This window comes from Homo sapiens, chromosome 2 (assembly GCF_000001405.40).
Source record: "Homo sapiens chromosome 2, GRCh38.p14 Primary Assembly".
NCBI classification, from domain to species: Eukaryota; Metazoa; Chordata; class Mammalia; order Primates; family Hominidae; genus Homo; species Homo sapiens.
The window spans coordinates 44439884-44467619 of NC_000002.12; the positions used below are offsets into that span (position 1 = coordinate 44439884).

At 35.8% G+C, this 27736-nt stretch overlaps 1 protein-coding gene and 1 long non-coding RNA gene across 8 annotated transcripts in view, besides 2 other annotated features; both read left to right on the forward strand.

Annotated features, from left to right (window-relative positions):
- The window catches only part of CAMKMT (calmodulin-lysine N-methyltransferase), a 410646-nt gene that overhangs the window by 77937 nt on the left and 304973 nt on the right, over positions 1–27736 (forward strand). The gene's annotated exons all lie outside the window — the stretch shown is intronic.
- LOC124905999 (uncharacterized) lies at positions 3157–27723 on the forward strand. The gene is made up of 2 exons (XR_007086303.1): positions 3157–3428; positions 3709–27723. It is a non-coding gene; the product is annotated as an uncharacterized LOC124905999 (long non-coding RNA).
- Positions 22977–23578: an enhancer, noted in NCBI's record as "OCT4-NANOG-H3K27ac-H3K4me1 hESC enhancer chr2:44689999-44690600 (GRCh37/hg19 assembly coordinates)". NCBI's record gives its function as "activates a minimal SCP1, AML or CMV promoter by ChIP-STARR-seq in naive H9 embryonic stem cells {active_cell/tissue: H9 hESC(naive)}" and the evidence as "EXISTENCE:reporter gene assay evidence [ECO:0000049][PMID:30033119]".
- Positions 23579–24178: an enhancer, noted in NCBI's record as "OCT4-NANOG-H3K27ac-H3K4me1 hESC enhancer chr2:44690601-44691200 (GRCh37/hg19 assembly coordinates)". NCBI's record gives its function as "activates a minimal SCP1, AML or CMV promoter by ChIP-STARR-seq in naive H9 embryonic stem cells {active_cell/tissue: H9 hESC(naive)}" and the evidence as "EXISTENCE:reporter gene assay evidence [ECO:0000049][PMID:30033119]".

A 27736-nucleotide genomic window follows, 5' to 3' on the forward strand; every position in this document is an offset into this window, starting at 1 on the left:
ATGAATGCTATAAGTCAAGAAATGTCAGGAGCCAACAACAGAGTTACTGAATGAAACCCCTGAAGATAAATATTTTCTACTTGGAGACAAAGGTCTCATTGGCAGGCTCAAGCCTCTCATCTTTTCTGACAGTGCCTCCATCTCATGGGATATGGCTTCTTATGGCGCAGGTCAGAATGAGAAAGGAGAGTGCTTAGAGGTAAAGAGTGTTGAATTAGAAAGGGTTTTATTTGTTGTTGTTTGTGTTTACTTATACAGGTCTTATAAAAATGTACTCATTTGAGCTGGACTTGGGATGCTGCATCCTCTAGTCCCATGATTCTAGTGCAGCCCATGATTTCCTTGAGTTTCCTGAGGTTCTAAAAGCCAACTTGGGCTCTTGATGTAACCTCGGGACCTCAGGGAAATCACACAAAGAGTGGGTCTTGATAGCAGTAATAGAAAATACGGTATTATTTTATTTTTTGGATGAAGAACCCAACATTCAGATTGTCCCCAGGGCACCATGCTAGTAAATACTAGTAAATGTCAATGCTGGCATTTGAAAACCAGATCCTACCTCATAGCATGTGCTCTTCCCACTCTTTCACCTATAAAAGATACACAAACACTTTAAGTCTTAAGCTGCACTATCCAATATGGTAGCCACTAACTCTATGGCTTTTTAAATTCTAAATTTAATGAATTATGATAAAATTTAATTTAATAAATTAAATCAAAATTTCAGCTCCCCATTTCACATTTCAATGCACATTTCAAGGGCTCAGTAGCCACATGTGGCTACTATATTGGACAGGAATGATATAGAGTATTTCTATCAGAAAGATGTATTAAGACAGTGCTACTTCCTTTCCAAGACATTAATTTTCCACAGTAGTATCACATACTCTTAGAATTCTGTGCTATTGGTATTGATCGTAATTGTAGAACCTTTTATCCCTTATTTTTTTTATTATCCATTTTTAATATCATGGTATTATTTTTCACAGAATCCCTCTTTTACTTGGTGTAGTCAGAATTCTCCATTCCTCCTCTTAACTTACATTTTCTCTTTTCTTAAAATGGCCTGTTTGGAATTAGCCTTGCCACCCCTACTAATTTGAATTCCACATCATGAAATGAAAGTTCCTACTTTGTGCTTACCTGGCCAGTACCTGGGGGAATTCACCTATTAAATCATATTCTTCCCCTTAATATATTCCTTTGGTTCCTCTTCCTTAACAATTTTTTTCTCACTTATTTGGTGTCTGTTAAATATCAAAACACTTTTCCTGTGACTCAATATATGTTTATATGCCAAGTCTTTTTTTCAGTTTGAGGTACTTGAAGTTCGTGCCTTTTCATTTGACTTGCTGGAAAATAGTTATTCCTTCCCTACATCATGAGTTTTCAGGATTAAAAGGTTTTTTGACCTTTAAATTGTAACTAATAATTTGCCTAAATCAGTGTTGCTGGGTGATAACATCTAGGATAACAAGTGAGTTACAGGTTCACAGTGATGACTCGGAATTAATCCTTAGCCTGTGTCATCAAGCTTGCAAATAGAGGAGTCTTTAGAACTAAGACTCTATCTGCTTTCTCTCATGGCACACGGCATAGTACCAAGCATTTCATCTTGTGCACTCAATAGATGTAGATGATTAACTGTATAAAAAGACTGCGCTATCTTAGGGTAGGGTTAACTATCTCTTGATACTTCTTTTTTTTTTTAAACCCAACACAGACTGAATAATATAGTGCCTTCGAATATCTTTCAGATTGGTGCATTGATATTTGTAGATATAATTTCAAATTTAGAAAGTGCTTGGTCTTCTGCCATATCACTCTGTAGGTATGTATTCTCCTTATATAACTAGTTGTACTGTAGAAGGTGATTTGGAGCCTTACAGCTTTAAATCATTCTTGCCTTTTTAATATTTATAAGGAACCACAGTTTTCTGTGCATTTTGACATGGTAGCTTTTATACTTGAAATAATATAATGGCAAGGAAAATATCCTCTTTTATCTAGACTTCTAAGGCTTAAGCTTTGTTTTTTGTTTTTTCATTTTCTTTCAGCACCTGCGGTATGCAGCTATATACAAGGCTGATGGAGAGCAAAAGAGGCTGCCCGATAGCACTTTAAAGAAAAGTTATTAGGCTGGTCTTCAAATTGGCCCTTGAGAAGCAGGTAGCTCCCTTGCTACTAAACAGATGTGCTGGTAGCAGCTTGGGAATAAAGAGCAGCAGCAGAGTCTGGCCCAAATACTCATTTTTACCCAAGCAAGACTCCAGTCTGAGAGAAAAAGAACTGCTTAGATAAGGTGAATGAAAGAGAAGTATGTATGACTCAGTTCTTTCATTTGCCTTGCAAACCCATCTGTGGCTCTAGTGGAGAGCAGGTCAGAAGCCCAAGAGCAATGGTTATCATTTCCCATAGAGTTGTGTGTATATATATACACACATATATAAAGCAAAATTATATACATAAAAATGATATATATCTCTCTATACATACATGTTCGTATACATATTTTACATCTGCTCATTTTGCTTTGTTAGTCTAATGCCAAGGTTTCTATGAGTATGGCACCCTTGTAGTCCTTCACAGAACAGACTTGAAACCTATGGTTTCTAGGCACTAAACGTTATCTCTTGCTACTAAGCCATATTGTATTCCTCACATTCTCAGGTCAAACCTTTTGATGACTCCTTGCATTTCAATATAATGTTAGCTCTGTCTTCAAGGGCTCCTCTTAATTCTCTGACCGACTTCTACTGATGTTTCTAAATACAATTGAAATGCTACCTTCTTGTTAAAGCCTTTCCAAATTCCTTCAGGCCAGTGGTTCTATCCCTTGTGCTCCCAAAGTACTTAGTTCATCCTGCTGTTGCAGCACTAGGCATCTACTGTAATTATCACTTTATTTGTCTGTCATCCCTCTTTCTGATGAGCTGCTGGAGCAGGGATTGTTTTCATATCCTTAACATCTAGCACAGACCTAGACTTCTTAATAGGTGCTCAATAAATGAGTGACTGCAAGAATAAATGAATGAATAAAATATACCACCTCATGTTTGAAATGTACTTGAATTCTTCCAACCAGCCTTTTCTTTTGTGCTGCTTTTCTTTATCTTCTTCCCGGCAGCACGTTCTTCTGTCCTACCTGGTAGATTTTAGAGCTTAGGAAATACGTGTTTGAAGATTTAAAATATAGTTCTTTGAACTCCTTAGAGGAAAAGTCTATGAATAAATAATTAGACTCATTTCACATCAAAATCTAAAGTGTGAAAAAATGTTCGTATCATTTGGTGCTTTATTCACTTGTATGGTAATCTAATGGCATACCCATTGTTAACACTGAACTGTACTGAAATATTTTACTCTCAGGGCTTTTCATCTGACAAAGGAGGCTTTTTGAAAATGAAAAATCACAGCTCCTGTCCCTGGTATGCTATGGGGAAATTTATTAGTTTTGTAATGCATGGGTTAATATTACCATTTTTTTATATTGAATATTACTTGAAAAAATTACTATTAATATCACTGCAGCATGTATGTATATAAGTCCTGTCATCTTTGGGGTATGTAAATCAGGAATGTTGCTGAAGAACTACTTAGCATTTTCTTGGGGGTGAAGTGCTTAGTTTTGGAATTTAATTGTAGGTTTTACATTTAAGCTGCTCAGTATTACTCTTCTAAAGGTTCTATAAATTTCTTGCTTTGTAGTTTAACAGGTTTAGTCACCACAGTTGAAAGGCATCATCCTCATAATGAAGCCAGAGAAGAATAAAGGTTGATCATGCAGGGCTGGCTGGCTGTGACATTGAACAATAGAGCTTGACTTCTTCATGTCTGTTAAATTAGACTATGGGGTGTGCTTATCTTGCTGCAATGATACTGAATTGTAACATGAAAATGTTATGTTGTGCAGCTCTGCGAAGGGAGTTCATCCGTTCTCACCTCATATGTATGGCAAAAGCTTTAAAATACTACTGAAGCTGCCTAGTGGGCTTAAAGTCTAATGGCACAGAATTGGGCATAATAATGAAACAAATAAAGAAAAAGTGCAAAGGCTTTTAAATGTCTTGTACAATTTTATTTATAGTAGTCTTTTAAGGGTCTAAGGCAGAACACAAGAAGGGTATGCTGGAAAAATTCCATTTGGAAGAGGTCTTTGAAGGAGATAAGTGTTACGGCCTGAAGGAAAAGTAAGAAGATATGTTGCGTAGGTGAGTGATTTATTCTAAACTTTTCTACACGTGTACTTGATACATACAACTCAATTCTTTAAATATTGATAAAATACCTACTATGTTCCCAGCACCGTGTTGGATACCATAGGAGATTTTGAAAGAGCATTAAATTCAGTCCTGCCTTGAGCAATTTAGTATTTTTTGAGGCGACAGAAATGAAATCCATGAAATAATTTCTTAGAATTGTCGGATATGTGAATGACAGTATTATAAGCTGTCAAGATCATGTAAAATTTTGATTCTGTTATTATATGTATCATTCCCAGATGTGTCACATGAGCTTTTGATAGGCATACCTTTTATGTTTTCAAGTCTCTGATAAAAATGTTAAAAAGTCAAGGCCATGGTTAGGTTAGGGGCAAGAAAGAGCCTTCTGACACTTCCCATACTTGTTCTTCACACATGCTTTTTGTCTACTTTTGAACCTGTGTTATTTTCTAAATGTGTATAAGCCACAAATTAGTAATCTGTTACAAAATTTTATCGTGGATGTTAAGCTACTGTTCAAGTTATACACACATACATGTGTGTGTAAAAATCTGGATTAATATTCTAGTTCTTTCAGAGCAATTATCCTGCAAATCCTGCCAGGTGATGGGAATAAATAGGGTGCCCATCACCCAGAGGTTTCCTTTTAGGGGAAGTAAGAGCATGGGAGCTAACCAACACCAAGCACCATGTACCCAAATCTTAGCAAGCATAACTATAGCTACCAGTTATCTGGGCATGTCACAGGACATCCAAGGAGGACTCAATTCCACAGTTTCACCTGGGCATTCGGCTTATGAAAAGGAGTCCATGCAACCCCCCAAGACACATTTTTGTCCCAAATTCAATTCCAAGCTTTGGGTCAAAGCCCTGGGAAAGAAAACTGGATCTAAGGGATCTAGAGGCAGATGATAATAGAGGTTAAAAGGCACAGTGCAGGTGAGCATGGCTAGTTTCTGCCAATTAAGCCAAGCCTCCCATTTCATGGATAAAGGTCAAGCTAATATTCATGGCATAAATGAGGTCCCGGGAACTCCAAGGCTACTGACAGTAGCAGGGATAGAGACATAGGTGAGAGCAGATAATTCCTATTCTCTAGGCCCTCCCTGCTTCATGGCTACAAACTGCTTTGGCACCCATGAGTGGCACCTGTTATGGTTTCTAGGACTCAGGGATGCAAGGATGGAAGAGGGAAAGAGGACTCACTTCCTTCTTTCCCTCACATACCCCAGGTATTTGCTAGGAAGAGAAGGGAACCAGGGATGCCTGCTCCCCTCTTTCTAGATGAGTAGCCATTCATCTTCAGTTTGTATCCCTTTCAAATGCATCCCGAACCCCTGGGATTCCCTTGAAAAATGCCCTCTTTTTTCTTTTCTCCTCCTTGGTTCTCTCTTCACAGATAGGTAATTGTGTCTCCATACTACGGGACATTCCCCTAAGATGCACCCTCCAAACTGGGAAAAGTTAATTTCCCAAACCTTAAACTGGTTGGCTTAGGACTGGGCTCAGGGGAAGTCCAACATGTCGGCAAAAGGGTAGTTTTTTTTTTTTTTTTTTTTTTTTTTTTTTTTTTTTTTTTTTTTTTTTACCAGTTGGGCTTTTGGTCTTCCTCTCCCCATGCAAACTGGTAAAAGGCCTCAGGATTTTTGAGTTGTCCTCAGCCCCCTCCTCTTGTTTCATTTTAATACATGTTTTCTAATAACCCAGTTTGTCTCTTCTTACTTTCAGACCATCAAACTCCAAATGGTCATGCAACCAAAGTCTTGAAGTCTCGGACAATGACCCCTTCTGCCAGGAACTCTTAGATAGGCTTCTGACTGCCATTTTCCCCAAAACAAGACCCTCTGTCAGCAGGAAGCAGTTAAGATCTGTCTTCATCCTTATCTTTATCCTTATTCTAATGTCAGTTAGACATACTTCTTTAGAGGGGGGAATGTGACAGCCAAGTATAAAGGGGTCGCTAGAGAACCTCTGGGACTACAGGTGTGTGCTACCACACCCGGCTAATTTTTTGTATTTTTAGTAGAGATGGAGTTTCAGCATGTTCGCCAGGCTGGTCTCGAATTCTTGACCTCAGGTGATCGGCTCACCTTGGCCTCCCAAAATGCTGGGATTACAGGTGTGAGCCACTGCGCCTGGCAACAGATATTTACTGAATGCCAGTTATGTGTCAGGTTCAGTTGCGTTGATTATTCACTCTCAGAGCCTCCCAGATTTGGTCTTTCCCTTATATTATTTATTTATTTATTTATTTATTTGAAACACAGTCTCGCTGTGTCACCCAGGCTGGAGTGTAGTGTTGTGATCTCAGTTCACTGCAACCTCTGCCTCCTGGGTTCAAGCAATTCTCATGCCTCAGTCACCGAGTAGCTTGGATTACAGGTGTGTGCCACCATGTCCAGCTAATTTTTGTATTTTTAGTAGAGACGGGGTTTTGCCATGTTGGCCAGGCTGGTCTTGAACTCCTGGCCTCAAGTGATCCACCCACCTCTGCCTCCCAAAGTGCTGGGATTACAGGCCGCGCCACTATGCCCAGCCTTTTCCCTTATATTCTCATTCACTTCAACAACTTAAGTTCCGACCTAGAGGCCTCCATCTCAGTCTTCCACCACACTGTATACCTTGTTGTGCTGCCACAGGGTTTGTGGTGTCAAAGCAGGCATCTCAGTCCAGCATTGAGGCCTTTCATCATCACAGTCTTTCTATCTGAAGTTTATCTTCTGTCATTCCTCATCATACCCACAAGATTTGGCCATACCTGTGTCATTACCTTTGTTGTTGTTGTACATACACATGTTATGATTTACATTTGGGCTTTTCCTTATTCCTTTTCCACGTTAGCATTTATGAAGGTAGTCTATACTTGATTACCCAGGTGTTCTTTATTTAATGTAACTCGTATTCCTGACAAGCTTATCTGCACAAAATTTTGGTACATTGGACCATTTAAGACAAGAGTAAATAATCAATTTTAATTTATCTTTGTTTAAAGTTGGAGTTTTATTTAGTGGAGATATGATGCATCTGTATATTGCTTTGTGCTTTGTTAATGTTCAGATAAGGAAACTGAGGTTCCTAGTGGTTAAGAGATTGGCATAGGACATTTGGCTAGTAAATAGAGAGAGTAGGATTAAAACTCACATTTTATAACTCATTGTCGAGTATGCTTTTCACTAGAATAGTTGATTTCCTTTTATTCTCCTCGTTTTATGTAATTCTGTTATAATATCCCTAAAGGTAAGAGCTGTATTTTGTATCATACCCCTCCTCCAAATATTCATAACATTAGTGCCTACCGTAGTTTTGGATAAAGAGATTTAATTGCCATGTTGATATATGTGAATGTATCAGTCATAGTGGGATAGGTTATGTTGCAATAATAAACAGCCCATCCCCCCCAACCTCAGTGGCTTACAACACTAACATTTCTTTCATGTTGCATGTTTATCTTGGGTTTATTGTGGCTATGTTTCATGTTGTCTGCAATGTGCAACCTGGGATCAGTAAGCAACTTCTTGAACACTTGTAGTGGATAGAAAAAGGGCACAGTAACCCATGTACTACTTCTCAAACAGTAATGTTTTCACATCTTATTGGCCAGAGCAATTTACATGGTGAAGCCTGTTGTCAGTAGGGCATAAAAGTATAATCCTTCTGTAGGTAGGGGCAGCAAATATTTTTGAAAAATAATACTCCGCCCAAAAAATCTGTGACCTTACATACAGAGCATTGAGCAACTTGTATTTTTCAGTTTATGGCATACTATCATCATTGGTCCCTGTCTGGCCACTTTGTTTTTTAATTCATTTGTCTGTCTGTTTTAATGTATTCTTATAAAATGCATTCTATTGTTTGGGATATGTATTTTAAATTTATAAGTGGTATAATGCTAGAGATTGTATTCTGTTTCTTAATTTTTTTTCACTTAACATTTATTACAAGATTTATTCACGTTGCTGCACATTCATCCAGTTTGTTGCATCTGGTGAATATAGTTGTCCCTTGGTACATGTGGGGAACTAACCAGTTCTATACCAAAATCCACACACAGTCACATCTGAAAGTTGACCCTGCAGAAACTGCATATATGAAAAGCACCCCACCACCCACTGCTCCTTACGCACGGGTTTGCATCTGGGGAATGTTGTATTTTCCATCTGCCTTTAGTTGAAAAAAAATCCACATATAAGTGTATCTGCACATTTCAAACCTGTGTTGTTCAAGGGTCAGCTATCTATAGTATTGCATGATAAATATCCACTACACTTTACCTGTCCACTTCCCTAGAGGGTCTTCAATTCTGTACTACAATAAATGGTGCTGCGTGAGAATTTCTTTGGGCTGTACACCCAGGTATAAGATTGCTGGGTCTTTGGACATACATATATTTAACTATTTAAGTATTGCTTTCTTATTGTTTTTGCTAAGTCTTCACAGCTATTAAGCCTTGGTATTATGAGAGTTTAGTAATTGTGTATTCTATCTTGTAAGTTAACCTTACTAATTCTGTAAAAAAAGTCCACCCAACTAAGAACACACGTGTAAGTAATGTGACATGTAATTCACCTCTGTAAACATATTTTTCACTAATGATTATGTATATGCGTATGTTATAAACTGTTATTCTGAGGCATTATTTTGTATCTCTGTAAATCAGTGAGTGGATAAACAAAATGTAGTATATTTATTCAATGGAATATTTTTCAGCAATAAAAATGAATGAATTAATGATACAACCTGGATGAACCTCAGAAACATTGTGCTAAGTATAAGAATCCAGTCACAAAAGACTATTTTAAGATAGCATTTATATGAACGGTCTAGGACAGGCAAATCTGTAGAGACAGTAGATTAGTAGTTGCCTCGTGCAGGAAACTAGGGAGTATGGACGGAATGGGGTTTCTTTTGGGGGTGATGAAAATGTTGAAAAATTGATTGCGACAATGTTTGCACACCTGTGTAAATACACAAAAAACTATTAAGTTGTACCATTTAACTGGGTGAACTTTGTGGCATGTAAATTATGTCTTAATAAACCTGTTAAAGACAAAACAAAACTTCAATCAGATCGTTTTCCAAGAAGCAGGCTAGAAATGAGTTAAATGTTGACCCCTTCATGTAGGGGGAAGATTTTCTCCCCTTGTGAGAACCTGAAGGGAAAAAATTGGGACAGTTTTATTCCCAAACTCTATCCTCAAGTTGTTTGAAAATAAACCCATGCATGTTATTTCAACTGACTATCTCTGTGCTGATATACCCTCAGCCCTGATAATTTGTTTAACTGTTTAGTTATCTTCAGGATATTTTTACTTGTATAACCCACCACTAATTTTCTTCCCAATTATCCAATTTCTGCTGTCCTTTCGGTTTTTTATATCTCAGTAGTTTATATCTCCATAAATCTTGGTGATCTCTTTCTTTTTTCTCATTTCTAGATTAACCTTTTATCATGTCATATCATATTATCTTGAAATTATTTTTCACATATGCTTCTTTTTATTCTTTAGACTTTACTCTGCCCAAAAGGAGAAAATAATTTCTTTCTTCAATGTTTTAGAAACAATAGCATTGGCAGATGTATGCTAATTAATACTTGCTTAAAAACAGCAAGGAAATTTCTTCTTTCAACACTATTAACAAGTATCTGACATGAAATAACACTTTCACAAGTAAAAGGGATTCTGATATTTTACGTTCCTTAGTAAATCTTTGGGGAGGGGGTTAGTACTAGAAATTTTTTTCCTTTGGAGGACTGGTAAATTCAGTTCTAATTTTTACATTGTTTTACATATGTCCTTTTATGATCACTATAACATTTGTGTTTATCAAATAAGTTAAAGTATAGTAATTTTTAAGTTAAGTAGCGAAATCCATGATAATCCAGAGATGCTCAAGTGACTTGAATGCTTCAACTTGAGATGGGTCAGCTTTAGGGGTGAAGTTGTGAAGAGAAAGCCATCACACACACTTCATCAACACTGTGGAATGAGGGACCGATGCTTTTACTGAGCAGTGGATTTCCAGTGAGCATATAAACTAATTGGTGGGTGAACATACCCCAGGAGCAATGATTTTAAGGTCATAGCAGGCTCAGTGAATAATGCTGACTTACACTGCGTCTCACTGATAGCTGATCTTACCAATGAGCAGTTTAGAGGCATTCAAGCCTGAGCTGTCTTCCATGTGCCTTGAATGGCATGTCAGTGGTCACTGTTTTTGACATCCTTTATATTTGTCCAGTCAGCTCTAAATCTTTAGGTTCAGCTTCAGAGTACTCAGGAAAGAAAAGAGAGAAGCAATTATTTTCAGTCATTGAGTTTTGAAGATCTTAGCGTTAATTATGCCAAACATTGTTGGTTCATCAACAAATACAAACCTTAAAAGGGGTTATGAAGCATTCTGAACTTGCTTAAACATAGTTTATGGTGATTAAGAGAATCTTGTATACACTAATATATTTTTAGTTACACTTTCACCCATATATTTTCATATACAGTTTCAAAACCAAATATTCAAATTAAAGCTAATTTCAGTTTTGGTTAATAAATTTTGAAATGCTTATTCACTTTAATTAGCATTTCTTTCGTATTTGAAAAAAGAGGAATAAAAAAGTACAATTCACTATTTCTCTGTGGAGTCCAGAGTAATTTTGGGTGTGAAAAATATTTCAATAAAACAAAAATCACAATGTCATAGCTCTAGTAATGCTATTTAAAAATTGATTTAATAGTGGGCTTTGAGATTTAGAAATTTTCTCCCACTTAAATCTTTAATTTATCAAAGATTATTTGAGCATTAAAAATGTGCTTTGCCTATTGTTTTCCAACTCTCTGTGCTCTCTGACTTGTTGAAGTTTTGCAGGAAGTGCCCAATCAAAGGATTTGAGGAAGCAGTACTGGACATTCTTTGGAAGTGTTCATCTGAGAAAATGAAAGTTAGAGGCTAAACTAGTTTTCTTGTTTGCAACTCAAATTTTAAATCTAATTTCCCATGTAAATAAAATAAGTGAAAAGCACAAAGGATGTAAACTTCCTAAATCTGCCAGAATCTTGTGTCTTAATTAAAAAATAATTTTATCATAGCAAAAGAAACACATTTAGTTCCTAAAGAAAATACCATGGGTGGTATTCTTTTGTTGTATTAGAGGTTTGAAGTAGAATAGTTGTTTCTCATGTACATGTATTACAGTAGACAAAGTGTTGAATAGTTTTCATTTCTGATACATTAATGATTAGAAAAATCGTTACCCTAATCCTTTTTTTATAACTCAAAAACAAACTAAAAAGGTTTTTGTTTTTTTGGAGGATCTGTTCTTTCCAAGAGGCTGGTGTTCTTCTACCTTTACTGTCCTAACCTTGCCTTTCAAATTAAGATATAATAGTTAGAATCTACTATAGAATTAATTTAGATTCAGTTGTCTCTATTAACAGAAAGTGATATGGTTTTAAAAAATGCAGATGATCATTTATGAGAATCTGGCTGTAATCAAAAGCAGTAACTACTATCCTTAGCAGTTCTTTATTCAGTAAAGAGTTATCCTCTTTTTGCTATTCTTTATTTCATTTATTCTTGTGAAATATGTTTACCTTTTTAACAAAACTTTCTATTTTACGTGGCTAGATATGTGATAAAACAAACACGGTAAAATGTTAAGGATAGAATCTAGGTGGTAGGTATATGGTCTTCTCTGTAAAATTTGCTTCTCTTTCACATTTGCTGTATGTTTGAAATTTTCATGAGACAATTTTAGAGAAAAAAAGCTTTCTATTTTGATTGTAATAGCCAATAGCCAAAAACCTTATTCCATTTTTGAAAAAAAACCTAGATATTTTAAGTTTCTTTTACTTATCTAAGCATAACAATGCAAATACCATATAATATATATTGATAATATCACACATTTAGTGAGTTAGAAAATATAAAACTGGCTTTTAATTGTTAAATATGTATACTATATACCATTCATATTTTAGCTGGTGGTTTAAAAAGCTAACTTAGGCATTATTTAAACTGAATTAGGGTAATTACATCAAAAGTAGTTTCTTAGCCAGAATAATTTTCCATTTTGTTAAAGGAGCCATGATGAAATGAAGTGTTTAGAGAGTTTTAGGAATAAAATGTGGGTGTGTATTCTTTAACATAGAATGAATATGCTTTCCAGTGGACTTTGGAATGGGAAAAGTATCAATAAATAATGCTTATTAAGCTTCTAACTAGGCATAGCGCCAGTTATCTCATACTTGAGAGAGAATTTTTTCCTTAAATAAATGCAACCATTGCATTTTGGGGGTGCTTTTCTTACTGTCTTCATTCAACTGTTTGCCACATGTGTGCCTGATACATTATTGAATCATAGAAATAATGTTTAAATATATGTGGGCTCCCCACCTACCTCCTTTTTAAAGAAATAGATATTAAACACACAAAAAAATATTACTATTGTTTCTTCCCTGAAATCTTTCATGGCACACTTGGCTTACAGAGTTTAATTTTGCTGAAATAAGAGTTTATAAGTCATTTTACCTTTGATATTCCAAAGTTGGAAACCTAGAGATAATTTTTAAGTAAAATTTATCTTTAACCTTTGTATTATAATCTGTATTTACATGAGTGTGCAAGTAGCCTCTCTTTATTAATGAAAATAAAGACTAGTGAAAAAATTTTACAAATGATTAACCTAGTTCTTGCATTCATTAGGTATATTTACAAGTCATCTGTGATCAGTTTAGTTACCATCCCTTTGATATCCTGCAGCCATTATTGGATGCCTTTGGGGTTGTGATATCATGCTGGGGAAGAATGGTTCGGCTGCAGGTTTTATGTGTCTTTTTATAGTTGTTCACAATATCCCATGCTAAATTATATGGTGAATTATTATACATTTGCTAGTTTAAAAGATGTCTAATTGATTTACTATGCTAAAATATCAAAGACTATATGCTGCAGGAGTGATGCTTCCAGTTAACAACTTATCATGTATTCATGGAGACGACAATGCTTGCTCACATATTGGCACTATTGTCTAATTTGGTGTGCCTTGTGTTGTAATTCAATCATCTATTATTAAAAGTAGATGTGGCTGTAGGGAGCAAAACCACATACAAATCCATAAACATACATATGTGCATATTTACTTATACTCACATATATGTTCAATAAGGTTTTTGTTTTACCTGCTATTAATGTTTGTACTAGTGAGTCATAAATGGAAAATATCTATTAGCTCTAAGGTAAAATAAAATAGGTTTTGATTTAGTTCAAGTGAACCATCTCATTTAAAATTAGCCCAGGGGTCTTGTAAAGAATGCAAGTAATCTAAACATAATAATGCACATTGCCCAATTGCTTCTGTGTATGATACAGGTTCAGTGCTGTAGTGCTTTGACAGCCCATTACTGAATGTAATGAACAGCTATTTTTAAACAGAAGAAATTCAAGTTGACAGCTTGGCAATGAAATTCAGCTAGTGGGATAATTTTTGTCATCTTTAGTATAGAGAATGGATTCAGTTTGGTTTAAGCAAATTTGTATCATGTAGTTTATAGCGCAAACATTTTTATTAAAAGATAATTTTATTGTCCATTTTGTGGAGAGGGGCAGATGTTACTGTTAAGAATATGTAATCAGCTTTTAATGAATACTTTAATGAATTACTGAAACATCATTTCTAGAACCTAGGTTTAAAATGAAATTTCTCATTTTTCTTTCCTGCCATGGGTGAAATAGTCTAATAAAACGACTATAAGATTAAGAGGTGTTTTTCTATGCTGCTTTTTAGTCTTTCAGAGTTTAAAACAAGTAGTTTTAAGAAATAAGATAGTCTTTGGAAATGGATATAAAGCTTGAGGCAGTGTTGTCTTAATGGAAGTAAGAATTAGACAAAATACCATTGAGAGAGAGAAGGAAAATGTCTGCCTGACTATATTTTAGAGAAATTCTTTTACTAAGAATAAGGAGACGGTAACATCTGATTTTGACAACTCTTAAAAAATAAGTTGGAGAAGCTTCGTCTGCAATTCTTAAATAAAACATATATTTTTAACTCATACTATGAAAAATAATAGGGTAAGTCAGAGTGAGTTATTTCATTCTCTTCTGTTTACAGCAGAAATTGTTTGAGAATTCTAATTGCTATTTTTTCTAAGTTGAGCTAATTGCCAGAGCTTTTAAAATAGAGACTTCAGGTTCAACGTTGTGCATTGTGTTAAATGTGGCTTGAAAAATACATTACTCAACGAAATCTGGGTGAACAAAGTAAGTAAACTGAGTACTTTACCCAATATCCAATAATGTTTCTGACCCTACCAGTAAAATAAACTAAATATATAGCAGTGGTGAAAATTTTAAAATTGTCAGAAATCCCCCTCTAAATGCATTGCCAGAAAGCTTTGTTCATGGGTCTTCATTACCCCTTCATGCTTCCAGGGCACCTCCTCTGGGTTCCCAAGGCACTGGGAACTTAAAAGTTAGCTTTGCTTAGTAACTATGCCTTGAAGTAGGATAATAAAACAAATCATTTTTAATAGTCAGTAGATTTTTTTTCCATTTCTGATCTGTTTCTCTATTTTACTTATCTCTTGGACGGCATAATGGCCCCAAACCTAATATAGCAATGAATCTGTGTAGAAGTCAAGCATTTTTGGAGAGGCTTTCATGTTAGGTCACTACTGTACTCTTTAGAATTGTATTGTATCAGTGAATCAAAAGAATTTCTTGACATGAAAGAATTGGTACACATCTATAAACATTTTATTTAAACCTAGAGAGGATATTATTTATCTAACAGAATCCAGCTTACTTCTAGCAACAGTACCATCAGTTTGTAGCCTGGTCTTTGAACTCTTGATTTTGTTGTGAAGTGACCCTCTTGAAATCTTAATTTACCCATGGATAGAGGACGTTGTATGAGGCAGAAGGGCATCATCACATTAGCCCTGCTTCTCTATGGCATCATGAGATGCTAAGATAAGCACTTGAAAGGTATTTTAACTTTCTTGATCTCAGAATAACTTGAGAAGAAATTCATGGTACCCACATACTGGGTTAACAAAATAATTAGTCGCATTTGGTTATTTGTGAGGAGGAAACTGTGAAACGTGAAAGTAGGACTGGGGATTCCAGGACGAAGCCTAGAGATAGATTTTTTTTAGAAGGAGGCTTATCTCTGAAGATGGGCAGGATGAAAGAAGTCACCAGCGATTCCAGTGGATGCTTTCTGTGTTATGTGACTACATTTTTCTTTCTGCTTGCCCTTTGAACTTTGAGGTCTGAGCAGTGCAGGAAGAAGAGAAGAAATTGCGTTGCCATGATACACTGTAAGGGCTTCAGGAAAATGGGATATGGCAGTGGTTTGAAAGATATTGAGAAGGTTTCCAACCCAATTGTCATTCATTGCAGCTGTAAGAATTTAATGGGATATGGTCTAATGAAGCATACCCATTGAAAAATTCTTAAACTAGTGTCTTGAGAGTCAAAATTGTTTGCTGGTTAAGACACATTCTGTCTGGAGCTTGACTGCCTGGGCTTAAGCCCTATCACTAGCTGTGTAACTTTGACCAAGTTATTTAACCACTTTGTGCCATTGTTTCTTTATTTGCAACAAAAATCACAACTCCCAGGGTTAGTATAAGGATCACATGGGTTAAACATTTAAAATTCTTAAAAAGCTATTTTTTTTAATGCAAAAAGAGCTTAATTTGTGTAATCTATTGTTGTTGTTTTAGAATTCATTGTAGTTGGAATGCTGTGTGTCAAAAACGTTGGTCCTTAATTAAAGGTTAAAGTTATCAGGAATCCTAACTTTGAAAAAGGAAAGTCTAAATGAGAATTCAATTCCATTTGGTTAATATTTATCATTCATAAATATTAAGTAGCATGGGATGGGATTTATAAAATATTGAAATCATAGCTTCTACCCTACTAATAAACTCTTTGAGGATAGGGAACATGCTGTATGCTACCAGTCTTGTAACCTAAATGGTGCCTTGTGTAATTCAAATATTTGTTCAGTAAAAGTCAGGTCAACATGAATCCAAATATATTGCTAGTACATATTAGATACTTAATATGTGTAACTTAAGTGAAAGGATTTATTTATGTGCGTGAGTATGAAAACAAGTGTTCATTTTCACTAGTGATGAAGGACTTGAATTACAACAAAAGAGTTACAGGTTATAAATAGAAGTAATCTGACTATAGGGTTGGTAAACATCCTAGTTCTTTCCTAAGAGAAATAACAGAATCTATATATTGTAAAGAATAGGTTATCAGGTGACATTTAACTGTCTTTATTTGTTGTAGAAGAATATTTAGGTCTTTTAGCCCTCTTACCCTCTATTTCTCAGAATTATTATATAAATATGTACATTCTTGTGAAAGAAGAAACAAAAAGACCTTGGAATGAAAAGCTTTAACTACAGCCAAGTTTACCTTTTCTATACATGTCATCCTTTCTCTTTTAGGGGAAGCAACCAGGGGAAAATGAAGATATCACCATCAGTAGTAACTCTTCCTTTTTTGTTTAAATGGTAAATATGCCTGGGGAGATGGGACTTATAAGAAAAGATGTTTTGGCCAAGGCATCCTACCTCTGCTTGTCTTCATGATCTTCATTACAATCATAGCAGAAATCCTCATGCTAAATGTTTTTCTTTTCCTTCTTTTCTGGGAGATCATTAATCAGCTATCCTATTTTCCTATTTTACGATTTCTCCTTCTCCAGCCCAATTATGTTTTCTACAAAGCTAGTGTCTGGGATACTAACTCTTAACTCATTCAAGCAAGCTTCTCGGCTATATCATTACAATAAATTCTATTTAAAATACTTAGTGAAGTACAGTATTCATAAGCCAGTTATTGCATTAGGTGTAGCTGCAGTGACACTGATTAGCATTCATCATAAAGATAGTTGAATATGATTTATTTATATTTGTATGTAAGTATATATATTTTGAATATGTACTATGCTCATATGATTCAAAGTTCAAAATGGCCTCAAGAGTATAAACTGTGAAAAGTCTCCTTTCCATCTGTCCTTCATCAACCCAGTTTCCCTCTCTGGAAATAACCACAATGACTAATTTCTTTTGTATTCTTCCAGAGTTATTTTCTGCATACAAATAAAAACATGTATGGTTGCATATATTTCTGTATACTTAAAAAATGGAGATGACTCTTTTGTTTTTTGGTTAACATCACTTTCTGGAAGGCAAAAGATGATCATAAATTCCTTCTGAGAGTACCAACTTGCCAACTTACCTTAAGTCATATTTCTTTCTTTTTATTTTCTTTCTCTCTTTTTTTTTTTTTTTGAGACAGAATCTTGCTCTGTCACCCAGGCTGGAGTGCAGTGGCATGATCTTGGCTCACTGCAACCTCCACCCCCCGGGTTCAAGCGATTCTCCCACCTCAGCCTCCCGAGTAGCTGGGACTACAGGTGCGTGTCACCACGCCCGGCTAATTTTTGTATTTTTAGTAGAGATGGGGTTTCACCATGTTGGCCAGGCTGGTCTCAAACTCCTGACCTCGTGATCCACCCGCCTTGGCCTCCCAAAAGTGCTAGGATTACAGGCATGAGCCACCGTGCCCGGCCCTTAAGTCATATTTCTTAAAAGTGCCTAGTGTACAAGAGTCTTTGAAACTAGAAATAAGTAAGAAGAGAAAGCAAAGATAGATTAGAAACCCTCAATATTTGTTTTCTTCTTTTGGAAATTCTCAACAGAAATTCCAGATGTTACAAAGTTGAATTAGCTAGTTCCTCCATGGCTGCTTGGTGATGGATAAGCCATTCCCCTGCAAATGAATAGTGAACCCTCAGATTCTCTTGGAAGCATGGAACAGCCTGCACATTAGTGTAAAGAACATCCCCCATTTTGGAGTCAGATTAATCTGGGTTTGGAGACACAGATCTAGCATTAGGACTTTGTAGCTTTGTGACTTTTTTTTTTTTTTTTTTTTTTTTGCCAGAGTCTCGCTCTGTTGCTCAGGCTTGAGTGCAGTGGTGCATTCTCGGCTCACTGCAACCTCTGCCTCCCCGGTTCAAACGATCTTCCCACCTCAGCCTCCCACATAGCTGGAATTACAGGCATGTGCCATCATGCCCGGCTAATTTTTGTATTTTTAGTAGAGACAGGGTTTCACCATGTTGGCTAGGCTAGTCTCGAACTCCTGATCTCAAGTGATCCGCCCGCCTCGGCCTCCCAGAGTGCTGGGATAACAGGTGTGAGCCACTGCGCCCTGCCAGCTTTGACTTTTAGCAAATGACTGAGTCACCTCGTGAAAACTCTGTAAATAGAGAGTAATCAAACCAAACCTGTGGTATATTTCACACGGTTAAATGAGATCATGTAAGTGAATACTGTCTGGACAAAAAGTAGGTGCTCAATAAATGTCAGCTTCTTTATTCGCCATTCTGCCAGTACATTTAAGATGAAAAGGTCTGCTTTCAGGGGTTTGTGCTGTTCAGTCTTACTGTGCTTCTCAGAATTGAAAACAGCATTTAGAAAGACGTTTTTATATAATTATTCATCTTGTAAGGATGCAAGTGTCAGAATCTATTTTTAATCCAACAACCAGCTTTTCTGTAGTGTTTTAACAGTTTACAAATGTTAACTTTCCATTCTCTCTAGGGAGATGAGAGAAATCGATAAAAGGCGATTACAAGTGAATACTCCTATAGCAATACTTGATACATTAAATTGTTTAAAAGTGTTTTTTTTCTTCTTCCTCTTCTAGTTGCAGTAATACGAGGTTTCTAAAGGCCATACGTAACTGTGTACATAAAGAGGAAAGCTACTTGGGATAGAAGGACTCTCAGATTGGGTTTTAACTTCTCAAGTATAAAAATAAGACAAGTAGGCAAAAATATCACATTCTGAAGTTTTAAGTGACAGATAAACAAATTCAACATGCACCACCAACTTTTTGAGTTTTAGGTACACTAACTTATTGTGGGATCTGGGCCAGCTGCTCTACCTCTGTAGACATTTCTAAGTGGGAAAAAAAAAAAAGATTTAGGAATAGTACCCTTTTCAGATTCTCTCAGAATTATAGTTGTAAGCACTATGTAAATTCATAGAACATAGTTTTGAAGACCAGCTTTAGAATTTCAATAGTTATTGTATATTCAAAACAGCTACACAAGCACTTTATTTTCATTTTAAAGATTTACAATTAAAGTCATTTTATGTATACCTCAAATGCCTGATTATACACAAACCCATTACAGGGTTTATACACACATTAAATCCCTTCTTATTATGGGGTTTTGTGCACATTAAATGCCTGGTTGTTATAGATTGTTGTTTTTCTTGTTACCATTAAATGTAACATTTCCCTAGGTGATGAAATGTATTATTATTTAGAACATTTATTTTAGTGTGTGTTCTGTATTTTAAAAGAGAAAGGTATTTAAGCAGCAAAGATGTAACTGTTATGAAATTTATTTTTATAAATAGCTTTCAGCAGAAATCAGAACAGTGCTTTAAAATTACAGTTAAAAAATCATTTAATCATCACACTCCTTGATGGCTAATAGAGTAGTAAGTGACTCCCCCATATCCCCCGCAATAGGCTATTCTCGATATGCTCACTTAAGTGGCCCTAAGAATAGTACTAGTATATTTTATGTTAGCAAGCCTTGATAGCAAAGTGCCAAAAGTTCAGGGGGCATTTGTCTCCTTTCTCAAAAATTCATTTAAGTCTTGCTGGAGCTTTAACTGGGGCAGACAGCCATACAAATGACTTGAGATAAAATGAAAATAATGGACTGAGCTGGGTGCTGGGGATGGTAGTTATGCTGAGCACACATCAATAAGCTTGGAGTGTGATTCTATGCTAATGCAAGCCTGATGGATCAGCTTTCTCTTTTAGCCTGGAGGACCATTAAGCTCTGGAAGCTGAGTCAAACTGATAGAGTTGGCAAATACAGCCCATCAGTTAGCAGCAATAGTTAACTGACTGTGATTCCTAATATGCGAAACTAACATTGCTTAAAAACCCTCCATGTTCAGGACATAGATCAGAAAGGAGATAATAGATTCTGCTTTAATTTGCATAATCAAAGCTTCTCATTTTCCCACCTTATAGTTAACAGAAGAGGGAAAAAAAGCCATGGCTACCTTCATTTTGTTGTTAGTCTTGAATCATAGCAAATAATTTTCATAAAAATGTAAATAACTTGTTTCAAAATAAAAGAGTATATTTGAAAGATTCTCTGTGTTATTTCTTTGGAATTAAACTGTAGGCACAGTTACATGGGTTGGGTAGTAAGTGTCTTGGGGATATGAAAAGTAACAAAGTCTTAAAAAATTGTGAGTCTTTTTAGTGATTGATTATTTTCATATATAATTTATAAAGTTCTATACTTTTACTTGAGGATATTGGCTTTGCAAACTTATCAAAAACAGTTCAAATTCTGTTGAATTCATATTTTTGTGTTGTGAGGACTTTCTGTTCATTTAAAAACATTTGTTGAGCACCCATTTATTTCAGGCACTGCATTGGACACTGGTGATGTGGTTGTCCTCTTGGAGCTTACTTTTTTTTCTTTACAGGGGAGGTAATAAACTAGTAAACAAAGACATAATACAGTTTCAGTGAGTGATAGATTCTTTTTTTTTTTTTTTTTTTTTTGAGACAGAGTCTTGCTCTGTCACCCAGGCTGGAGTGTGCAGTGGCATGATCTCCACTTACTGCAACCTCCACTTCCCAGGTTCACACGATTCTCCAGCCTCAGCCTCCCGAGTAGCTGAGATCACAGGCGCATACCACCACACCCAGCTAATTTTTGTACTTTTGGTAAAGATGGCTTTTTGCCATGTTGGCCAGGCTGGTCTCGAACTCCTGGCCTCAAAGTGATCCACCCGCCTCAGCCTCCCAAAGTGCTGGGATTATAGGCATGAGCCACCATGCCTGCCCTGAGTGACAGATTCTTAAGTAGAGCCTTCTCCATCTGAGAGATTCTACTCTGACCAAGTTTTTGCCAAATAGACTCAAACATTAAATATGCTGTTTTCAATCACAGGTTTCCAGACGGTCTAAAAAATTTGTAAATGTAAGGAAAATAATAAATAAATTTGTGTTGAAGAAAAATTAAGGGCTTTTGTGTATACCTCGTTGTAATCCAGACTGACATCTCTGTGAAAACCCTAATAAAAGTCTATATGCACGACTTTCTGAGTGTTTAATATGTGCTGGCTCTCTTCTAAGCAGTTTACTCATTAAATATCTCATTAAAAAAAACCTCTAAAGAAGGTACTATTATTCCCAGATGAGGAAATTGAGACAATAAATGTTAAATAACTTGCTCAAAGTTATATAGCTAGTAAGTGGGTGAGGTGGGATTAAAACCTAGGCAGTTTGGCTCCAGAGTAAGTGTTCTTAATCACTGTTACTCTATGGCAACCTGAAGAAATTTGTTTAGCTGAAAATGTATTGCTACTTTAGAATGCAAGGTTTGAGAGGACAGGGAATGCATCTGTCTTGTTCACCTCTAACTCTGCACTTAGCACTGAACCTGGGTTATAGAGGGTGGCCAATAAGTATTTCTTGAATAAGTGAGTGTAAATGACTACTATTATATGTTTAAATTGAATAATATTTCATACAAATTCTTTTCAAAATTTATTTTGCTACATATGTTTTTCTGGTGCCCTAAATTAGTATATGCCTTATATGTACATTCCAGTGCTAGTTAGAATGATAATACGATCAATTCCTATGGATGGGGTAAGGGTAGGGCCAGAATTCCTTGACCTACATCATTTCTATAGCCTATCTACCCTAGGTATATGGGATTTCTCAGTGGATCACATCACATCGAGCTCATACTGTGTTCTTGTATAATACCTGCTACCCTTGACTCACAGAATGTTTTGTGTGATGTCAAGTAGCAAATGCTTACATATTTCTACTTCCAATTATGTTTCCTTTCTCCTTATATCTTTGGAGAAGACAATAACATTATTCTGTAAGTATCAAACTGATATTAAATGATTGAATGAATGGGGCTTTCTCCTGTACATGGTTTGTTTTTAGAATATAAAAATGAAAAATAATTTTTCTAAATATAATACACAGGACAACTCATGTAGAAAATTCAAATAATAAAGAAAAGGGTAATAAAGTAAAAATAAAACATATTCTCATTACTCAAAATAATTTATGTTATCACTTACATGTATTAATTCTCAGTTAACATTTTGGTAATCATCCTTTCAGATAACTCTATGTATACATAGACACTTACACATGATTTTAAATAAATGAGTTTATAATGTGCATATGATTGGATAACCTGCATTTTTTCACTCAATAATGAAACTTGGAAATTTTTTTTCATGTCAATGAACATTATTATAGTTTTTAATGACCTACTCTGTTGTTTGGATTTATGATTATTTAATTGGCCTTATAATAATAGATCTAAATTCCTTTTTTTGCTTTTATTTTTGATGTTCCAAACAAAACTGTAGTGAATATGTATTCATATATCTATATGAATTGTTGCTGGGTCAAAGGTTTTATTTTTTGGGTCATGTGTAATCTGACAGTTTAAAATTATACAAAAATGTGCTGAAGTCCTTGCGTTCATTGCTTAGGGAGTATCTGTGTGCAAGAGGAACATTATATGAATGAATAGAAATATAATTCAGGTCTCAGCTATTTAGAAAAAAAAATGCTTCTTAATTCTCTTAATCTAAAGATTTCTTCTTTATCTCCTTTTGCTTTTTCTCCTTGCACTTTGTTAAAGAAACTATTGTTCTGTAGGTTTTCCTGTAGAGTCTGAGTTTTGCTGATTGCATCCCCATATTGTCATTTAACATGAACTGCTACCTTCTGTATTTCCTATACATTGATCGTTAAATCTAGAGGCTTGAGCCAATTCAAGTTTGATTTTATTTACTTATTTATTCAAAGCTACTTCATAGGGAGAGCTTTTCTTCTCTGCCAGAAGGCCACAGTATCAATCTTATTGTAGTATTGTAGTACTTACAGCCATTCTTGATCAATGCCATGGATACCTATGTTAATGTCTTTGCAGTCCTTTAAGTTGTTCCAGTTTGGATTTGCATAACACACCACTTCAAAACTTAATGGCTTACAGTAATGTCAGCAAGAATAGGAAGCCCTAGACCTTGTTTTCCCACAAAGACACTGACTTAACAATATATGACCCAAAAACATTTAGGATAGCTCCAGAAGCCAGTTGTGAATTCACAGCACCCTAGGCAGGATCAAAGCCATGAATAGTTCTATTGAAAGAGATAAGACAAGTAGTTCCATTTGAATGATGTCAGCCCCTCTCTTAAGCCAGCATAGCTCATAATAGGGAGGAAAAGCCCAACTCATGGCTTCTGCCTTGAGAGGAAAACAGAAAAGTGAAATGTACATGCAATATACTAGCTTTTTAGGGGGTGAAAAAGTAAGGGGTTGGGTGGGAGTTGGGCTGCCCAGAATGTTGATTTCAGTCTTGCCTGACTCAGAGTGCTAGCTGAACCAGCATACCTTGGATACCTGGGGTCTACAGTGAACAAAAGAGAACTTAGTAGCTTTTTGCAGCACCAAGAACCCTGCCAGTACCACAGACAGGCGCAAGAGGGAGGAAGAAACTATAAACCGAAAAAGAAACTGACAAACTTCTCTAATTGGGAATTTACATGCAGAGAGTGAGAGAAGATACATCTCCCCATAAAAGGATTGAGAGGCTGTCAGATTCTCTGGCTGTGCTGTTTGGTGAAGGTCTTCCCCTATAGAAAGCCAGTATGTAAAGATTGGGAGAGGTGGCTGTTTTTCAAATGCAAAAATCACAACAAAAAATAACAAGGCACACAAAGAAACAGGGAAATCAGTCAAAGAAACAAAATAAATCTCCATTAACTGACTCCGAAGAAACAGAGATCTATTAGTTACCTGAAAAAGAATTTATGATAATCTTAAAGAAGCTCAATGTGTTACAAGAGAATACAGATAGACAGCTAAATGAAATCAGGCAAACAAAGCATGAACAGAATGAGGATATGAACAAAGATATAGAAACTATAAAAAAGAACAAACTAGAAATTCTGGAGCTGAAGAAAACAACTGGTTAGGAAAATTCACTGTGGAAGACCAACAAGAGACTTGATCAAACAGGAAAGAATCAGCTAACTCAAAGACAAGTCATTTGAAATTATTGAGTCAGAGTAACAACAGCAACACAAGAATGAAGAAAAGTAAAGAAAGCCTGAAGGACTTATGGTGTACCATCTGGCTGACCAATATATACATTATGGGAGTTCTAGAAGGAGAAGAGAGAATAGGACAGAGAGCTTATTTGAAGAAATAATGGTCAAAAACTTCCAAAATCTGAGGAAGAAAATGGACATTCAAATTCAAAAAACTCAACAGACTGTAGATATGATGAATCAGAAGAGGTGCACACTGTGACACATTATAAACTGTCGAATGTCAAAGACAGAATCTGCAAAGCAGCAAGAGAAAAGCAACTTGACACATACAAGGGAGCTCCCATAAGTTATCAGTGGATTTCTATCAGAAATGTTACAGGTCAGAAAGAGTTGGAAGATATACTAAAAGTGCTGAAAGAAAAAAAACTGCCAATAATACTGTATCTGGCAAAATTATCATTTAAAGATGAAGGAGAAATAAAGACCTTCTTGGATAAACAAAAGCTGAGGGAATTCATCATTTATCATCACTAGACCTTCTTTACAAGAAATGCTAAAAGGAATCTTTCAAGTTGAAACAAAAGGATGCTAGACAGCAACACAAAAACATATGAAAATGTAAAGCTCTCTAGTGAAGGAAAATATATAGATAAATACAGAATCCTATAATCTGTTATGAAGTGCATAAATCACTTAATTCCAAAGTGATTCCAATTTAAAATTGGATATTTATCTTTTAAATTGGATTATCTTTTAAATTCCAATTTAAAAGATAAAAGCACTGAAAATAGCTAACTATAAAACTATGTTAATGAATATAAAATATAAAAAGATACGTAATTTGTGACACTGGTAACATAGAGGGAAGAGATGTAAAGGAATGAAATATTTATATGTGATTTAAGTTATCAGTTTAAAAGAGATCATTATAACTATGTTTTATGTAATCCTCATAGTAACCACAAAGAAAATACCTACAGAAGCTGCACAAAAAAAATGAGAACAGAATAAAAACACATCACTAAAAAAATCAATGAAACAGGCTGGACGCAGTAGATCACTCCTGTAATCCCAGCACTTTGGTAGGCCAAGGCAGGTAGATCGCTTGAGGTTAGGAGTTCAAGACCAGCCTGACCAATATGGTGAAACCCCGTCTCTACTAAAAATACAAAAATTAGCTGGGTGGTGGCGCATGCCTGTACTCCCAGCTACTCGGGAGGCTGAGGCACGAGAATTGCTGGAACCTGGGAGGCAGAGGCTGCAGTGAGCCAAGTTTGTGCCACTGTACTCTGTCAAAAAAAAAAAAAAAATCAATGAAACATAAAGGGAGACAGCAAGAGAGAAAAGGAGAGACAAAATAACTGGAAAATATAGAAATAGTAAGTTCCATGGGAACGGTGAGAGCTTCTCTATCAGAAGTTACTTCAAATGTGAATGTTTACTTTAAACTCCTTAATCAAAGAACAGAGAGTAGCTGATTTAATTATAAAAACTTCAAACAATAAATGCTGTTTATAAGGCACTCACTGTAGATATGAAGACTTAGGCTGAAAGTGAAAGGATGGAAAAAGATACTCCATGCAAATAGCAACCAAAGGAAAAAGGAGGTTAGCCCTACTTAGACAAAATAAACTTTAAGTCAAAAACTCACAAGAGACAAAGAAGGACATTATATAATGATAAAAGGATCAGTTCTCCAGGAACTCAAAACAAGTCTAAATATATATGCATCTAACAGTAGAGCACCCAAATATATAAAGCAAACACTAGCAGAATTGAAGGAAGAAATAGTAACGCAGTTAACAGTAGGATATTTAAATATTTCACTTTTCATAAGGGATAGATCAACTAGACAGAAGATCATAAGGAAACAAAGGACTTCAATAACATTATAGTCCAATTGGATCTAACAGATATACAGAACACTCCACTCAACAACAGCATAACACACATTTTTCTCAAGCACATATAGAACGTTTTCCAGTATAAATCATGTTAGGCCATCAAAAGCGGTCTTAACAAATTTAAGTAGATTGAAATCACTTTATGTATTTTTTCTGACCACACTGAAATAAAACTAGAAATCAACATCAAAAGGGAAACTGGAAAATTCATAAATATGTGGTGATTAATCAACACACTCTTGAACAACCACTGTGTCAAAAAAATCACCAGAGAAATTAGAAAACATCTGAAGGCAAATGAAAACGAATACACAACATATTAAAACTTACGGAATGCAGCAAAAGCAGTACTCAGAGGAAAGTTTATAGTGGTAGACACATTAAAAAAGAAGGCTCTCATATCAACAAAATAACTTTACACTCAAGGAACCAGAAAAAGAACAAACTAATCCCGAAGCTAGTAGAAGGAAGGATATAATAAAGATTTGAACAGAAATAAATAAAAAGAGAATAAAAATGATTTTAAAAAATTAACAAAACTAAGATGGCTTTTAGAAAATATCAACAAAATTGACTAGCCATTAGCTAGACTTAAATAAAAAAAGACAAGACTCCAATAACAAAAATCAGAAATGAAAGAGCAGACAAAACAACGGATGCCACAGAACTGAAAAGGACTATAAGAGACTACTATGAACAATTACACAGCAACACATTTGATAACCTAGAAATGGATAAATTTCTAGAAACATATAACCTACCAAGACTGAATCACTAAGAAATAAAAATAGGCCAGTCACGGTGGCTCACACCTGTAATCCCAGCACCTTGGGAGGCCAATACAGGAGGATTGCTTGAGTCCAGGAGTTTGAGATCAGCCTGGGCAACATAGTGAGACCCTGTCTATACAAAAAATAAAAGCAAAATTAGCCAGGCATGGTGGCACATAGCTGCAGTCTCAGCTACTCAGGAGGCTGAGGTGGGAGGATTGCTTGAGCCTGGGAGGTCAAGGCTGCAGCAGTGAGCTGTGATCATGACACTGTACTCAGCAAGACCCTGTCTCCAAAAACAAAAACAAACAGGTGGCTCACGCCTGTAATCCCAGCACTTTGGGAGGCCAAGGCAGGCAGACCACCTGAGATCAGGAGTTCGAGACCAGCCTGGCCAACATGGTGAAACCCTGTCTCTACTAAAAATACAAAAATTAGCCAGGCATGGTGGTGGGTGCCTGTAATCCCAGCTGCTAGGGAGGATGAGACAGGAGAATCCCTTGAACATGGGAGGCAGAGGTTGTAGTGAGCTGTGAGCTGTGATTGCACCACTGCACTCCAGCCTGGGTGACAAGAGCGAAACTCTGTCTCAGAAAAAAAAACAAAAAAAAACAAAGCCAAACCAACAAACAAAAACTCACCACCACCACCACCAAAATATACTACAAAGC